The sequence below is a fragment of the Homo sapiens genome, chromosome 6 (assembly GCF_000001405.40).
Source record: "Homo sapiens chromosome 6, GRCh38.p14 Primary Assembly".
In the NCBI taxonomy this organism is placed as follows: Eukaryota; Metazoa; Chordata; class Mammalia; order Primates; family Hominidae; genus Homo; species Homo sapiens.
In genome coordinates, this window is record NC_000006.12 from 70,487,372 (window position 1) to 70,506,517 (window position 19,146).

Genomic DNA, 19,146 nt, shown 5'->3' on the forward strand with positions numbered 1-19,146 from the left:
GTTTTCACTTTGCGTTCAGTAAACCATCACAATTTTTTAAAAAATTATGAAAAGCTGTAGGAATCAAAAAGTGAAATAAAATAAGTATTTATTTCCCAATTTTCAGAGGTATGAAATGAAGGAAGTTAAAAAGCCAAAATCTATCTCAACATTTCTCAGGTGAAAACTAACTCAGAAATATTTGAGTTGTGTTAATTTTCACTAAGACTGTTAAGGGAAACTGATTTTCTTGTCAGGAAGGAAAAAGAAGAGTTGAAAATTTATTGTCATTCTTTCTGGAACATAGTATTATATTCTCATATAAAGTTACTGTAAAATTAAAGAATTCATAGTATGAAACTGTGGCCATTTATGACATTTTAGCATTTTTTAGCAATTAAAATATACTTCTAATTTAAACTATTTTATTGCCAGCCTATCAGTTTACATGTGAGCATTCTAAATAATTTTACAGAATGCAGTTTAATGTAATAAGATCTATTTTTTAAAAATGGGCCAGATCTTGGTTGAGTAGAAAAATACTTAATTTTCAAAACTAAAACATAATGAAGTTAGTTAACACTTTTGTTGAGATATCTTTTATCCTTAAACCTAACATTGTATTGCCGTTGTCTGAGCTGTGTTATAAATATTTGTTGAATGAATGGATAGATTTAGAAAATAAATGTTAGATACATGTACCCTTTGACCTAGCATCCCCACTTCTGTTCACCTGTATCATAGAAATAGCATACTAGGTAGTATGTAAAGATACAGGTACAAGCATGTTTATTGCAGTATTGTTCTTAGTGGCAAAACAGTATAAACAAAGATCAATGCCCATTATTTGGGCAAAGAGTGGAATACAGAATATATCATGATGCACCCACATCAAGGAATACTGTGTAGTCATCTTAAAAAATGCTTTAGTGCTAGGTACCAGAATACTGTGGGGTAATGCTGAGAGAAAAAAAGCAAGATGCAAAAAATTGTGCAAAATACAATCCTATTTTTATAAAACAGTGACTCCAAAACTCATATGTGTATATGTATATTTGAAAAATATGGAAGGATATGCTCTAGACTGTAACCTTGGATTAGTAATAAGAGCCAAGCCCCCCCCCCCAGAAATATATGATAATCATCACATTTATACATTTCTATAAAACTGTATAAATGGATATACAGTATACCCTTGAATAACACCAGAACTGGGGCACTGACCCCTGTACAGTTAAAAATATACCTGTAACTTTTGACTCCTCTAGTACTTACCAACTAATGGCCTACTATTCACTGAAAGCCTTACAGATAACATAAACAGTTGATTAATACATAAAAAGACTAGTATCTACATGTTTTTATGCAATCATGACATATTCATCTTTCTTAATTTTTTCAATATTTCTAGGCTACATAGTTTGCAAGTTTCATATTCTTTCCAAAATATTTATTGAAAAATACTTGTGTATAAGTGCACCTGCGTAGATCAAACCTATGTTGCTCAAGGGTCTGTTATATATGTCACTTTAAAAAGAAAAAATAATTAAAATAGGATTTTAAACTCCCTTAAAAATCTAAGTGATTTCAAAATTATTTTCAGTTCTAAGATTTTAGAGTTAAATTATGCTTTTAAACATTCTTTAAGATACTGTTTGCATTGAAGTAGCTCTCAGTAGCTATAATGCAAACATACCCATTTATGCAGTTAGGTTCTTCTATGTAAACATTAGAAAAATGTGTCACAACTCTCAAAACCTTATTTTCTAATTTTTAAAAATCAGAGGTAGAATATGTAATTTCTAAGACTAACTTTACTGATTTTTTTTCTGTCACAGGAAAAGATCATGAGTAATGTGAAAACAGATGGTGGTTTTAATGCAGAGTCTGTTGCTGGTTTTTTAGTTTTGGAAAGCCCAATATTAGAAGCCACTGGTTTATCTAACAGTGAAATGATTTGTGAAATCATTGCAAATTTCTTTAGTTACCAACAAGTTGGCCAAATTAGTGATCTATTTTTTGGTATATATCAATATCTAAATACAATTTACTTGTATATTTTGTGAGTTATGAAATACATGTGTTCCATTGATTTTTAGTTAACAACAGAGTATTTGTTGTTTATGTTACCGGGTGGGGTACAGCGTCCTTGATTCTTGTTGAAGGAAGAATTCAGCCAAGAGACACGCAGCAAGGGTTAAGCAGCAGAATTTATTTAAAGAGACAGTAGTATACTCTGAAAGATAAAGCAGAGCAAGCTTCTGGAGAGAGTGAGCTAGCAGCAGCCAGTGCTGGGGAACTCTATGAAGAATACATGATTATTCATGAAAGGGCATGAGGAGGTGTCACTTGCAATCATGTTTTAGATGATCCCCTTGGGCATACATGCTCTGTAGTTGTACATGCTAGTACACACGTTGCTTGTCTCGTTAGCATTTAAAATCTCCACCTAGGGATGTGTTTTTTACTATTATAATGAGCAAAAGACCACTCTAGGGTGAGTTATTGGAGGAGTGCACATGCTTCAGGGTCGCAGGAGCCCAACCACAAGGCCAGGTATAACCAATATAGCCGTTGTCCTTTTTGCTGTCAGTGGGCGACATCTCCAGGACTTCTTTGCCCAGAGGCTCCCTTGCCTGCTCGTATCTGGCCGTCTCCCCACTCTAACAATTATACTGTGGTTGTGTTTTTACCACATAATTGTGATTGCTTTTTTAAACAAATTTAAATGTTTATCATTTTTATCATGTAGTAAACATTCAGTCTGTTTTACAAATTAGTCAGCTGATGAGTGAATTCAGGGATGTTATAGAATGTGTTCTTGCCTTTGTGTGAGAAAGATCAATTAAACTCTTTCACAACAAGATTATGGGAATTTTGTATGATTATAACTATGCTGTTACAGTTCTTTTAAAAGACCTGTTTGATTTCTACTTAAAAATTAAGTGTATGTAAAGATATTTCAGACATTAGTGTAATTCCTCCCTGCCAAAAATAAATAATTTATAAATCTTTATATTTTGTTAGTTTCTGTTTTTCCTGGTAAATATTATCATTTTAATTGTAAATTTGTGCACCTCTTTATAGATTATTATAGCATACATTAAGTAAATCAGAATTCTATGCAAATATCTGCCTCAGTTTAAGAATATTTTATAGAAAAATAAATACATTAGGAACTAACTATTAAAGGATCTTGACATTCATTTTTATTAAATAGCCTACACACCAGGTATGTTTTAAATGTTTCAGTGATAAAATTAATTTTACTTGAGCATTTTAGGAATAGCTTTTGTAAAACACAAGAAAGCAAGGCATATGTATATATAACACAAAATACTAAACTGTACTGGAAATTATAAAATATGAAATACAGTAAAATCTAATTATATAGTTGGTCTTTTCTGTGACACAGTTGTGCAAGTTACTTTATGTATATAGTTAATATTTCCTTGACAGTGTTAACTCTTGTGAAAAATAAAAAATGATATTTATCAGAATGTAGAATTTAATAATCACATTACCTATGTAATTAATATGTTTATGAAAATATGTTACCTTGAAATTTAATTCATTGAATACAGTCCAGATCATTCTTAATTTTCAGTTTTTTATGGGAATTTTATTTATATAAATTAAATATCTAACATTGGAATATTTCCTCTACTCTTTACTCCTTCCAGAGGAAATGGATGTAGAAGCTCGACTTACTGAACTATGTGAAGAAGTTAAGGTACTTGGATTTTTTAAATTCACATCATCAAGTTATTTGAGTGGTTTCTGTTTCCTATTCTAAATATTTTGTCTATGAAAACTTAAAGTATTTATAGTTCCTAAAATGCAAAGATAAAATGGTTGATCATGGTAGAACCACAACTTAGGTGGTCAAAATTCATTTGGCTTCAGCATGAAGTTAACTTACCTTTTAAAAAGTATATTATTCTTCATATAAATGAAATAGCAAAGATAATTAACTGATCAAACAGTACATTTTCTTCTGTTCACTCACTCAATTTCTGGACACATTTTTAAAACATCACTTAAACTTGTAAAATGATACTGTTTAAAAATGAAAAATTTGTTTTATTTCAGTAGATCAATTTGCTTCTCAGATCATTTTTTCAGTTCACTCTTGCAATTAAATTGAATATATTTGCCTTTCTTTTTCTGAGAAACTAAATGCTTTAACTATTTAAATGTATGTTTCACTATGCATTCACTCTTGGTCAGCTACATTAATGGAAGAAATCAGAGGTGTGAATCAAACAAAAATATGTATTTGGTTTGGATATACTTTTGGATATAAATTTGAATGAAGACTAGACCTGTTCAAAAAGGTATTCTCCTTAGAAAATTATACATACGCAGGATACATCAGTTTTGTATACTGTCCTAGAGGTTTTCTCTGCAGTTCAAGTAAGATATTTTCTTTAAAAAAGTCACTAATGTGCTTATGATAATTGCTCAAAAGAACATTAAACATTTAAAAATAATCTTAAGATGTGTGCAGTTAATATGAAATCATCTGCAGTGTTTCACTGAGCTATTAAAGAAAATTTGAATAAATATACATATGATACTCCTGTAGATAATCACTAAAAGATATCAAATTTTACTCCAGTCAATCATTTTAATGAGTCCAAACCAAAATCCCACTGGAAATTTAAGCTTGTTTTTAAAATCATTTCAAGAAATGTAAAGATGGCTAAGAAAAACTTTTTTTAAAATAATGTAATTTTTAAATAATACAAATGTAGAAAGACTTGCTCGACTGGATACTAAAATATATGTAAAATAATAAAAATGAAAGGAAATAAGGTAGGATTTCTCTAAAAGAATAAAAAGACAAGTCAGAGGAATTAAACAGCCCTAAAATAGTCACTATTATGTTTAATAACTAAGTATATGATAAAATATTAACATCAGGGTCTATAAATATTGTGGTAAAGTTAACGTCATGCCATGCTATAGCAGCAGTTCTAAGTGGACTGAAGACTTAAGTGTCCAAAGAAATTAGGAAGAAAAAAATTACATATATATGTAAATATAAACAATCTGATCTTGGGATATGAAATGACTCCCTCAGACAATTTTTAAAAAGATAAGTTTTTTAAAGACCAATAAAAACCTAAGGGACAAAATAAGACATTGATGATTTGAAATTTCTTTGTAACAAAATATACTATAAATTTGAAAGCAAAGGATAGACTGGAAGAGAATATTTGCAATATTTAAAACAGGCTAATGGTCAGTGCTCACAATATATAACATGCTCTCATGTATCAATTTTAAAACAACACCCTTGTAAAAAAAAAAAAAAAAGGATACAATGAGGCAGTGTACAAATAACAAATTCTTAGCAGAATAATTTAGCTCCTGAAATGATACTCATTCTTACTGGAAACCAGGGGAATGCAGATTCTAATAGGTTATTTTTTTTGCCTATGAAATTTGCAAGAATAAAAGTGACTACTGAGCTTCATTTTTTGTAAGAGTGTAGTGAAACTAGTATCTGCATACCCTGTTGGTGATGGTATAAATTGGCACAGTATTTTTTAACATTAGTGCATTGATGTATTTTTAAAACACTTATATATTGCACAATTATCAAATCTGCACAGCAGTTTTTATTTGATAATCTGTTCTACAAAAATACTCATAAATGTACACAAATATAAGGAATTACATCATTAATTATTATCAATTCCCATGTAGCCATTTAAAAGCATTAGGTGGATCTCTATGAAATTGTCATGAATTATTTAATTCAGAAAATATTTATTAATCCATGAAGCTTGATACTGTTTGCGTGCTGAAAACTCTTCAAGATATATTAATTGAAAAAAATAAAGAAAAATATGAATAATATGATTTCATATAGTATGTTAAAACTAAAAAGCTGTTTGTGTATTTTATTGTGTTTATGTGATTACATATGAAATATTTGAAAGGATATATATATTCCAAGCTTTTAACAGTAATACAGAAAAAAAGTGGCGTGACGAATAAGGTTTGTAAAGGGGAATTTTCTTTACATGCGTCTATATTAAATGTTTAAAAATAACATATGTATCCATGTATTGCTAATAAATTTTTTAGATATACATATTTAAATTTCAGTATGTAAATGGTTGTCATAAACTTTAACATCAACAACCTATAACATATTATAATGCGTCTTGAGACATGGTGAGATACAAATTCTCATACCTTGTATGTCTTTTTCAGGGATTAGTTTGGCAGTACGTATCCACAGCCAGAAAAAATATCTCCTCTTAGTGTATACCAAAAGCTAAACAGAGTTCATGTGAAGATTCATAATATTGTAAAAATGTTTAATAAATGCCCAATGGTAGAATAGTTAAACAAATTATGGGATACTTGTAATCTAAGTTATACAGCCTTAAAAATGATGTTTTTGGCCGGGTGCGGTGGCTCACGCCTGTAATCCCAGCACTTTGGGAAGCCGAAGCGGGCGGATCACCTGAGGTCAGGAGTTGGAGACCAGTCTGGCCAACATGGCGAAACCACATCTCTACTAAAAATACAAAAATTAGCCGGGCATGGTGGCGGGCACCTGCAATCCCAGCTACTTGGGAGGCTGAGTCAGGGAGATTTGCTTGAACCCGGGAGGCAGTGGTTACAGTGAGCCAAGGTCACGCCATTGCACTCCAGCCTGGGCGACAGAGTGAGACTCTGTCTCAAAAAAAAAAAAAAAAAAAAAGATGTTTTAAACAAGTGTTTGATGAAGTAGGAAAATGTTCATACTGTATTATATTCAGTGAAAATTGTATGAAACTATATATTGTTTTAGTTTTTGCTTTATGTATATAATTGAAAAAAACTTGAAGCCGGTACACTAAAATGAACTTTTTTCATCTTTTTTTGTTTTCCCATATTTTCTAAGTAAAGCAGCATTTTGCAATCAAACAAGATCAGTGAATGTTATGGGAAAATATATATATAAGATAATGTGATTTGAAAAAAACACAAATATAGCCAGACACAGTGGCACACAATTGTAGTCCCAGCTACTCAGGAGACTGAGGTGGGAGTACTGCCTGAGTCCAGGAAATGAGACTGTATTCATACCTTTGAATGGCCACTGCACTCCAGCCTGGGCCAAGTAATGAAACCTTGTCTCAAGTTTAAAAAAAGAAAAGAAAAATACACAAATGTAAAGTCTTATTCCTACATTTATATATATAAGAGATCTTGCCAAACTTAATTCTAATTTCCTTTTTTAATATAAAAAAGAATTATATTATTATTTATTTTGGTATTTATTACATGAGATTTATGAAAACCAGAGAAATAGTTTATCTGTGCTTCAAGGATGCTTTTCCAACAATGAGAGTACTGAAGTTTTCTCTTTCAGAACTGCGGTATCATGATCCCTAGGGAATAAAATTAATAAGTACTAGGAATCTAGATAACCTTGCTTTCAGGAAGAATAAAAAGAGAGTTGTGTACTTTATTTATTTATTTATTAGCCTGGGTTAAAGGCCAGAGAATTGTTTCTACTTTTGTATAGACTATGCTAAGTAAAGTGTTCATATCTTATACAGTGCTATTTAATTACTCTCAAATACTTACCCAACTCTTCTTTTTCTAAACTCCATTAAAACCCTCCTTGGGGACAATAATAATGCAAGTTTCAGCTTATGTCAGCTTATATTTTAAAGTCCATATTCTTAAAAGAGACATGAAAAACTTGTTAGCTTCATTTCTGCTACATTTATAAAACCATCTCTTGGGAAAAAAACACAGCAGGAAATTCATCATATGTCGATGAATATTTATTCATTATGTCTTGACTGTTAGCTTCCATTCCAGCTTCTGGTATTTATAAACCTTTTCCATAAATTATGGGAGCTCTTTTTCATAAAAATGTAAACACTTTCCATAAATTCTGTAAACATGTAAATGTTTGTTGTGAATTCTGGAAGGTTTTTTTCTTATCTGAAGACTGTACTTCTCATTCACTCATTTATTCACTTAGTAACTATTTATTGAATTACTACTATGTACCAGTAATTAGAGTCACAAAAGCGAATAGGACATGATCATAATTCCTCCCCTTCTTACTAATTTTGTTTAATTTTTGTTTAGCGTCTTCTCTGAGTTAGGCAAGGTAAATGAAAGTGTGAGTTGGGGAAGAAAAGCCTGCTGAATTGCAGTATTTAAAAAGAAATAAAAATAAACTGAGAGTAACAGTATCATATGTGATAAGCAGCCTTTGGGGATACACACACACATACACATACACAGAAATATATTTTATTTTATTTTTTATTTTTATTATACTTCAAGTTATGGGATACATGTTCAGAACTTGCAGGTTTGTTACATAGGTGTACACGTGCCATGGTGGTTTGCTGCACCCATCAACCTGTCGTCTACATTAGGTATTTTTCATAATGCTATCCTTCCCCTAGCCCCTCACCCCCTGACAGGCCCTGGTGTGTGATGTTCCCCGTCCTGTGTCCATGTGTTCTCATTGTTCAACTCCCACTTATGAGTGAGAACATGCGGTGTTTGGTTTTCTGTTCCTGTGTTAGTTTGCTGAGAATGATGGTTTCCAGCTTCATCCATGTCCCTGCAAAGGACATGAACTTGTCCTTTTTTATGGCTGCATAGTATTCCATGGTGTATATGTGCCACATTTTCTTTACCTAGTCTATTGTTGATGGGCATTTGGGTTGGTTCCAAGTCTTTACTGTTGTGAATAGTGCTGCAATAAACATACGTGTGCATGTATCTTTATAGTAGCATGATTTATAATCCTTTGGGTATAAACCCAGTAATGGAATTGCTGGGTCAAGTGGTATTTCTGGTTCTAGATCCTTAAGGAATTGCCACAGTCTATCTCATTGTGGTTTTGATTTACATTTCTCTAGTGACCAGTGATGATAAGCTTTTTTTCATATGTTTGTTGGCCACATAAATGTCTTCTTTTGAGATGTGTCTGTTCATATCCTTCGTCCACTTTTCAATGGGGTTGTTTTTTTCTGGTAAATTTGTTTAAGTTCCTTGTAGATTCTAGATATTAGCCCTTTGTCAGATGGATAGATTGCAAAAATTTTCTCCCATTCTGTAGGTTGCCTGTTCACTCTGATGAGTTTGTTCTGCTGTGCAGAAGCTCTTTAGTTTAATTAGATCCCATTTGTCAATTTTGGCTTTTGTTCCCATTGCTTTTGGTGTTTTAGTCATGAAGTCTTTGCCCATCATGCCCGTGTCCTGAATGGCATTGCCTAGGTTTTCTTGTAGAGTTTGTATGGTTTTAGTTCTTACATCTAAGTCTTTAATCCATCCTGAGTTAATTTTGTATAAGGTGTAAGGAAGGGGTCCAGTTTCAGTTTTCTGCATATGGCTAGCCAGTTTTCCCAGCACCATTTATTAAATAGGGAATCCTTTCCCCATTTTTTTTTTTTTGGTCAGATTTGTCAAAGATCAGATGGTTGTAGATGTGTGGTGATATTTCTGAGGCCTCTGTTCTGTTCCATTGGTCTATGTATCTGTTTTGGTACCAGTACTATGCTGTTTTGGTTACTGTAGCCTTGCAGTGTAGTTTGAAGTCTGGTAGCGTTATGCCTCCAGCTTTGTTCTTTTTGCTTAGGATTGTCTTGGCTATACGGTCTCTTTTTTGGTTCCATATGAAATTTAAAGTAGTTTTTTCTAATTCTGTGAAGAAAGTCAATAGTATCTTGATGGGGATAGCATTGAATCTATAAATTACTTTGGTCAGTATAGATAGAATATTGATTCTTCCTATCCATGAGCATGGAATGTTTTTCCATTTGTTTGTGTCCTCTCTTATTTCCTTGAGCAGTGGTTTGTATTTCTCCTTGAAGAGGTCCTTCACATCCCTTGCAATTTGGATTCCTAGGTTTTTTATTTTCTTCGTAGCAATTGTGAATGGGAATTCACTCATGATTTGGCTCTCTGTCTATTATTGGTGTATAGGAATGCTTGTGATATTTCCACATTGAGTTTGTATCCTGAGACTTTGCTGAAGTTGCTTATCAGCTTAAGGAGATTTTGGGCTGAGACGATGGGGTTTTCTAAATAGACAATCATGTCATCTGCAAACAGGGACAGTTTGACTTCCTCTCTTCCTATTTGAATACGTTTTATTTCTTTCTCTTGCCAGATTGCCCTGGCCAGTACTTCCAATACTATGTTGAATAGGAGGGGTGAGAGAGGGCATCCTTGTCTTGTGCCAGTTTTCAAAGGGAATGCTTCCAGCTTTTGCCCATTCAGTATGATATTGGCTGTGGGTTTGTCATAAATAGCTCTTATTATTTTGAGATACGTTCCATCAATACCTACTTTATTGAGAGTTCTTAACATGAAGGGATGTTAAATTTTGTCAAAGGCCTTTTCTGCATCTATTGAGATAATCATGTGGCTTATGGATTACATTTATTGATTTGCATATGTTGAACCAGCCTTGCATCTCAGGGATGAAGCCTACTTGATCATGGTGGATAATCTTTTTGATGTGCTGCTGGATTAGGTTTGCCAGTATTTTATTGAGGATTTTCTCATTGATGTTCATCAGAGATATTGACTTGAAATTTTCTTTTTTTGTTATGTCTCTGCCAGGTTTTGGTATCAGGATGATGCTGGCCTCATAAAATGAGTTAGGCAGGAGTCCCTACTTTTCCATTGTTTGGAATAGTTTCAGAAGGAATGGTACTAGCCCCTCTTTGTACCTCTAGTAGAATTCGGCTGTGAATCTGTCTGGTCCTGGGCTTTTTTTGGTTGGTAGGCTGTAAATTACTGCCTCAATTTCAGACCTTGTTATTGGCCTATTCAGGGATTCGATATCTTCCTGGTTTTCTCTTGGGAGGCTGTATGTGTCCAGGAATTTATCCATTTCTTCCAGATTTTCTAGTTTGTTTGTGTAGAGGTGTTGATAGTATTCTCTGATGGTAGTTTGTATTTCTGTAGGGTCAGTGGTGATATCCCTTTTATCATTTTTTATTGTGTCTATTTGATTCTTCTCTCTTTTCTTCTTTATTAGTCTCGCTAGTGGTCTACCTATTTTGTTAATCTTTTCAAAAAAACCAGCTCCTGGATTCATTGATTTTCTTAAAGGTTTTTCGTGTCTCTATCTCCTTCAGTTCTGGTCTGATTTTAGTTATTTCTTGTCTTCTGCTAGCTTTTGAATTTGTTTGTTCTTGCTTCTATAATTCTTTTAATTGTGATGTTACAGTGTCCATTTTAGATCTTTTCAGCTTTCTGATGTGGGCATTTAATGCTGTAAATTTCCCTGTTAACACTGCTTTAGCTGTGTCCCAGAGATTCTGGTACATTGTCTCTTTGTTCTCATTGGTTTCAAAGAACTTCTTTATTTCTGCCTTAATTTCGTTGTTTACCCAGTAGTTATTCAGGAGCAGGTTGTTCAGTTTCCACGTAGTTCTGCAGCTTTGAGTGAGTTTCTTAATCCTGAGTTCTAATTTGATTGCACTGTGGTCTGAGAGACTGTTTATTATGATTTCCATTCTTTTGCATTTGCTGAGGATTTTTTACTTCCAATTATGTAATCGATTTTAGAATAAGTGCTATGTGGCACTGAGAAGAATGTATATTCTGTTGATTTGGGGTGAAGAGTTCTGTAGATGTCTATTAGGTCCACTTGATCCAGAGCTGAATTCAAGTCCTGAATATCCTTGTTAATTGCCTGTCTCATTGATCTGTCTAATATTGACAGTGGGGTTTTAAAGACTCCTACTATTATTGTGTGGGAGTCTAAGTCTCTTTGTAGGTCTCTAATAACTTGCTTTATGAATCTGGGTTCTCCTGTATTGGTGCATATATATTTAGGATAGTTAGCTCTTCTTGTTGAATTGATCCCTTTACCATTATGTAATGACCCTCTTTGTCTTTTTTTATGTTTGTTGGTTTACAGTCTGTTTTATCAGACTAGGATTTCATCCCCTGCTGTTTGTTTGTTTGTTTGTTTTCCACTTGCTTGGTAAATATTCCTCCATCCCTTTATTTTGAGCCTATATGTGTCTTTGCACATGAGATGGGTCTCTTGAATACAGCACACCAATGGGTCTTGACTCTTTATCCAATTTGCCAGTCTGTGTTTTTAATTGGGGCATTTAGTCTATTTACATTTAAGGTTAATATTGTTATCTATTAATTTGATCTTGTCATCATGATACTAGCTGGTTATTTTGCCCATTAGTCAATGCTGTTTCTTCATAGTGTCATTGGTCTTTATATTTTGGTGTGTTTTTACAGTGGCTGGTACCGGTTTTCCTTTACATATTTATTGCTTCCTTCAGGAGCTCTTGTGAGGCAGTCCTGGTGACAAAATCCCTCAGCATTTCCTTGTCTGTAAAGGATTTTATTTCTCCTTCACTTATGAAGCTTTTTGGTTGGATATGAAATTCTGGGTTGAAAATGCTTTTCTTTTGAGAATGTTGAATATTGGCCCCCACTCTCTTCTGGCTTGTAGGATTTCTGCAGAGAGCTGTGCTATTATTCTGCTGGGCTTCCCTTTGTAGGTAACCTGACCTTTCTCTCTGGCTTCCCTTACCATTTTTTCCTTCATTTCAACCTTGGAGAATCTGAAGATTATGTGTTCTTGGGGTTGCTCTTCCCAAGGAGTATTTTAGTGCTGTTCTCTGTATTTCCTGAGTTTGAATGTTGGCCTGTCATGCTAGGTTAGGGGAAGTTCTCCTGGATAAAATCCTGAAGTGTGTTTTCCATTTTGGTTCCATTCTCCCTGTCACTTTTGGGTACACCAATCAATCGTAGGTTTGGTCTTTTCACATAGTCCCACATTTTTTGGAGGCTTTGTTCATTCCTTTTTCAATTCTTTTTTGTCTAATCTTGTCTTCATGCCTTATTTCAGTAAGTTGATCTTCAGTCTCTGATATCCTTTCTTCAGCTTCATCGATTTGGCTATTGATATTTGTGTATGCTTCATGAAGTTCTCGTGTTGTTTTTTCAACTCCATTGGGTCATTTATGTTCCTCTCTAAACTGGTTATTCTTGTTAGCAGTTCCTGTAACCTTTTATCAAGGTTCTTAGCTTCCTTGCATTGGGTTAGGACATGCTCCTTTAGCTCAGAGGAGTTTGTTATTACCCACCTTCTGAAGCCTCCTTCTGTCAATTCGTCAGTCTCACTCTCCGTCCAGTTTTGTGTCCTTGCTGGAGAGGAGTTGCAATCATTTGGAGAAGAGGCATTTTGGTTTTTGGAATTTTCAGCACTTTTGCACTGGTTTTTCCTCATCTTCATGGATTTATCTACCTTTAATCTTTGAGGCTGATGGCCTTTGGATGGCGTTTTTGTGTGGGGGTCCTTTTTGTTGATGTCGATGTTTTTGTTTTCTGTTTGTTAGTTTTTCTTCTAACAGTAAGGCCCCTCTGCTGCAGGTCTGTTGCAGTTTATTGGAGGTCCACTCCAGGCCCTGTTTGCCTGGGTATCACCAGTGGAGGCTGCACAACAGCAAAGATGGCTGCCTGCTCCTTCCTCTGGTAGCTTCATCCCAGAGGGGCACCATCCTGATACCACCTGGAGCTCTCTTGTATGAGTTGTCTGTCGACCCCTGTTGGGAGTTCTGTCCCAGTCAGAAGGCACGGGGGTCAGGGACCCACTTGAGGAGGCAGTCTGTCCCTTAGCAGAGCTGGTGCACTGTGCTCAGAGAATCCCTTTTGTCAGGATCAGCTGCTCTCTTTAGAGCCAGCAGGCAGGAATGATTAAATCTGCTGAAGCTGCACCCACAGCTGCCCCTTCCCCGAGGGGCTCTGTCCCAGGGAGATGGGAGTTTATCTGTAAGCCCCTGACTGGGGCTGTTACCCTTCCTTCAGTGATGCCCTTCCCAGTGAGGAGGAATCTAGAGAAGCAGTCTGGCCACAGCTGCTTTGGTGCGCTGTGGTGAGTTCTGCCCAGTCTAAACCTTCCAGCCTCCTTAGCACTGTCAGTGGAAAACCACCTACTAAAGCCTCAGTAATGGCAGACACCCCTCCCCTACCAAGCTTGATCTTCCCCAGTCGGCTTCAGACTGCTGTGCTGGCAGCGAGAATTTCAAGCCAGTGATTCCTAGCTTGCTGGGCTCCGTGGGAGAGGGACCCGCTGAGAGAGACCACCTGGCTCCCTGGCTTCAGCCTCCTTTGCAGGGGAGTGAACGGTTCTGTCTCGCTGGGGTTCCAGGCACCACTGGGTTATGAAAAAAACTCCTGCAGCTAGCTCAGTGTCTGCCCAAACAGCTGCCCAGTTTTGTGCTTGTAACCCAAGGTCCTGGTGGTACAGGCACATGAGGGAACCTCCTGATCTGCAGATTGCAAAAACTGTGGGGAAAGCATAGTGATCTGACCGGGTAGCACAGCCCTCATGGCTTTGCTTGGCTTGGGGAGGGAGGTCCCCTGGCTTCTCGTAACGCCCCACCCTGCTTCTACTCACCCTCCGTGGGTTGGACTCACTGCCTAACCAGTGCCAATGTGATGAACTGGGTACCTCAGTTGGAAATGCAGAAATCACCCACCTTCTGCGATGGTGTCACTGGGAGCTGCAGACCAGAGCTGTTCCTATTCGGCCATCTTTGGATCATGTCCTAATAACAGTATTTTATAATAGTTTGTTTACCTGCTTTTCTCCCCTCACTAGACTGTGAACTTCTCATATTAATTTTTGTATCTCTAGAATCTAGGCCATTAGCATTTAAAATGTGTTCAATAAATAGCAAGTGAGTGAATTGTTAGAAATGAAAAAAATAAAGTGACAATTCTGTAAAAGGATTACTCACAAGTGAAGTAGAATCTAAGAACATAGGAGTGAGAGAAAAGGACTATTTCAGAAAGTATCACAATTTTTTCTAAGGAGTCATAGATATTTTAAGTATTTTTTCTTAGCTAATTGGGGAAAAAATCTGAAGAATTTATTATCTTTCAAAACAATTATAACTCTCATTATTTGAGCACTGTGTTTAAAATTCCCAGTATTTTGGTGTTAGAAGCTGATCATTCTCTATAGCATCCTAATTTGTAATTTTAGTTTGCAATTGACATTATTTCAGTTAACAAGACATCTTAGATATTGAAATATTGGTTAAGTTGTTGAAAATTCTTTCAGTAACTATCAGGTAAGTAAAAAACCATTGTTAATTGGTCTTTGTCTCTACACATGTGCATGCACATACAAATGCACATCTCTTTTTTTAAACCACAAATTTGCCTTTGTATTAATATTCTCAATAACATTATATTTAAGTATGTTACATTAAATCTTGGGAAATAGTGAAATTTTTTTTCTTTTCATTTCAGAAAATAGAGAATCCTGATGAACTGGCAGAACTTATAAATATGAATCTTGCGCAACTTTGCTCACTTTTGATGGCTTTATGGGGACAGTTTCTGGAAGTTATAACGCTACACGAAGAACTAAGAATATTATTAGCACAAGAGCACCATACTTTGAGGGTAAGTTAAAGAGAAGTGATTTTAGAGCATTTTAATGAGTATTATTTACCTTTAGAAAATTTTTATGAAAACAAACCTGATTTTTACCTATATATTGATAAATCAGAAAAGAGACATTTGTCATATTGTTATTGTTTGACTTCCAAAATTAATAATAGAATAGAACAATACAGTTAAGCATATGACCTATTTCAATCACAATCCCTGCTGCTAAGAAAAACCACCTAAAAGTAAGTAAAATAGGAAAATATATGATACAGAATAGAATAGGAACCTAAGAATAGGAATTAATAGCCAAGCCTCATTAGGGACAGGAATCAGGAACTAGAGAGCTGTCTCAAACTTATATCTCCCTCTTCTCCTTTTCCTTCCCTTCTTCTACCACTGACCTAATATAGGAATGTGTATTATTAACTTAGCAGGATGGAGGGGGCAGTCCACACATTACACATATATGTTTACTGTAGACCTAGTATGGACATTATGCAGGTATTTCTATGTAATTTTATTGTATAGCATCTCAAGAGGTTTTACGTGTTAAATAACTATCTTTCCATCTTGTTTCCTTATATACTCTGCATGCACCCTGATTTTACTTTACGTACTAGGAGTTCCTCCAAACATCATTAATTTTTTTCCTTTTTTAAAAAAATTTTTTAATTATAAAACATAACACATAAAGTCAGAAAATGCATAAAACAGGCACATTTTATCAAATAATTAAAGCATACACCCTTTCAGTTATTATCCAGATCAAGAAGTAGAACACTCTCAATGCTACAGATGTTCTCTCTGTATCTTTTCCAATTACCATACCCTTCCTAATACTTAGAAGTAATCACTATACTGTCTTTTGTGATGATGAGTTCCTTCCATTTTAGTTTTATCACCTATGTATGCACACTAAATAGAGGTTGTTTCCACCTGTTATTGAATTCTATATAGATGAAATTGTACAGTAGTATTCTTCTCTATCTTGCTTTTTCACTCAAGACATTAGGATATTAATCCATCTTTTTTGACAGTACCTGTAGATTGTTCATTATCATTGCTGTAATATATCTCCATTTGAATATACCCACATTTATTTATCCATTCTACTGTTGATAGATTCTTGGATTACTTCTAACTTGTGGCTATTACAAACCAAGCTGCTATGAACATTCTTATGTATATGTCCTGGCATACCAGTTTCTCTGAAATACTTACCTGTGAGGCAAATTGCTGAGTCATAGGTTATGCATAACTTCAATTTTACTAGCTAATGTGACAGTTTTCAGAGTTGTACCAATTTTTACTCCCACCAGCACAGTTTGTTACTCCACACACTCTCCAACTCTTGATACTGGCAAGCTTTTTAAACTTTGCCAAACTGATGGATGCGAAATGGTATATTATTGTGGCTTTAATTTGCATTTCTCTGATTACCCATGCAGTTGAGCACTGCTTTGTGTGATTATTGGTTATGTAGGTTTGCTCCATATGAAGTGCCTATTCTAATGTTTTGCCCATTTCTAATAAGATAACTTTTTTCTTCTTTATTTCTGATACTTTTCTGTGTCCTTTGTTATGTGTTTTTACTAATAGATCCTCTCTCATTTCATGGTTTATTATTTTCATTGACTTTATATTGTTTTTTAATGAACTGGAGGTCTTAATTTTAGAATAGAAGGAAACTAAGAGAAAGGCCAGACATGGACATAGCCATTTTTGGACATAACATATGTGGATCGGTGTAAAAGATGGAGATTTTTCAATAAATGATGTTTGAGACAATTGGGTATCCATATGGTAAGTATTAAATAAAATTCAGTTCCAAGTGGATTGAAGATTTAAATGTGAAAGGCAAAACTGTAAAGCTTCTAAAGTATAATCAGAAACTTACAGAAGACTTTAAAAAGTTGGCCAGGAGCAGTGGCTCACACTGTCCCAGCACTTTGGGAGGCCAAGGCAGGTGGATCACCTGAGGTCAGGAGTTCAAGACCAGCCTGGCCAACATAGTGAAACCCCATCTCTACTAAAAATACAAAAATTATCCAGGCGTGGTGGCGAGTACCTGTAATCCCAGCTACTTGGGAGGCTGAGGCAGGTGGTAGAGGTGGAGGTTGCAGTGAGCTGAGATCACACCACTGCACTCCAGCCTGGGCAACAAGAGTCAAACTCCATCTCAAAAAAAAAAAAAAGGTAGTGCAGAGTACTTCTATATAATTTTCATCAGAATCACAAATTAGCATTTTGGTACATTTGCTTTATCATTGCCTGTTTTTTGTAGGTAGATACACATATATATATATATATATGCATACATATATACTTACATACATTGTTTTTCCTGAACAATATGATAATTATAGACATAGTATTCTTTTATCATTAAATACTTCAGCATATATATTCTAAGAATATGGACATTCTCTTAGGTTAACCAATACACTGATCTTCTTTAGAAAATTTTATATTGACACAATATTGATATTTAATGTATGGCCCATATTTAAGTTTTGCCAATCATCTTACTAATGTTTTGCATAACAGCTTTTTCCAAGATCAAATTCAGGAACACATTGAATTCAGTTTTCATGTTCCTTTACTCATTTAATCTGGACTAATTCCTTATCTTTGCGTGACCTTGATTTTTTTGAAGAGTATTGGCCAGTAAGTTTGTGAACTATTCTTCAGTTTGGGTTTGTATTATATTTCCCGGTGATTAGATTAAGATGACACAGTATTGGGGGGATACTACATTTTTTTTTCAATCAGTTTTGGTAAATTATATTTTTGGAGGAGTTTGCCCATTTTGAGTTTTTAAATTTATAATCAAGTAGTTCATAGTATCCTTCAATTATCTTTTTAATATCTACAATATTTAATGTTTTCTAGTTTCATTCCTGATTTTATTCTAGTTTCTAGTTGTTTGTGCCTTCACTCTTTTTTTCTTGAATTGTCTCACCAGAAGTTTGTTATTTTATTTGTCTTTTCGAAAAAGCAATTTTTGGTGGTGTTAATTTTCTCCTTGTGTGTTTTGTTTTGTTTCATTATTTTTGCTATATTGTAGTAAACAGGATCCATGTATCAAATACTGTTGTTTTATAGGACTTTTTCTTAGAATTTCTTTATTAAAGGTCAATCACCTTCTTTAAAGGGCTAAATAAAAAGGATTCTACAATGGATAAAATAGCATAATCACTGTATTCAACTTACTAATGGTCTGGCATCATCTTAATGTAGCAATTTAGAATGAATAGCATAATGAATGGAATATATTTTTTTCCGCAATTTTCAGGAACATCATTTCTCACTACCAAGATTTTGAACAACAATGAATTGTGGTAATAGTATCAGAAAGGTAGCCAGTTTTCAGGGTAAATTAAAGTGATGTTGATAAGCATTAAAGGATCTCACTGACATTCTTTTTTTGGAAATTTAGGACTCTGACAAGACTTGAAAGGCAGTCCACCTCTATAAAGAGGTGAGGTGAATGCATACCAATAACTCAGGCAAAGTTTTCTTGAAAAGTATGTCAGAATACACAACCAGCGACCCAATTTTCTATGCTGTAAAACAAGAATCAACTTTTTCTGTTAAGGACCAAATGGTAAACATTTTGGACTTTGGGAGCCACACATCTTTGTCTAAACTACTCAACTCTGTTATAACATGAAAGCAGCCATGGATGGTATATGAATAAGTGAATGTGGCTGTGTTTCAATAAAGTTTTATTTACAA

General features: G+C 34.6%; 1 protein-coding gene across 57 annotated transcripts in view; it reads left to right on the forward strand.

Annotated features, from left to right (window-relative positions):
• Nucleotides 1–19,146, forward strand: part of FAM135A (family with sequence similarity 135 member A) — a 147,667-nt gene that overhangs the window by 73,864 nt on the left and 54,657 nt on the right. For 54 of the 57 annotated variants that reach the window (XM_047419158.1, XM_047419165.1, XM_047419169.1 and 51 more), the window contains 2 exons: nucleotides 3,663–3,712; nucleotides 15,265–15,420. In XM_047419158.1, the coding sequence (XP_047275114.1) occupies nucleotides 3,663–3,712; nucleotides 15,265–15,420 (206 nt within the window). Of the gene's footprint in view, nucleotides 1–1,817; nucleotides 2,996–3,662; nucleotides 3,713–15,264; nucleotides 18,591–19,146 lie in introns of those variants that run through there. The other 3 variants (NM_001438522.1, NM_001438524.1, NM_001438525.1) reach the window with 2 other exon arrangements.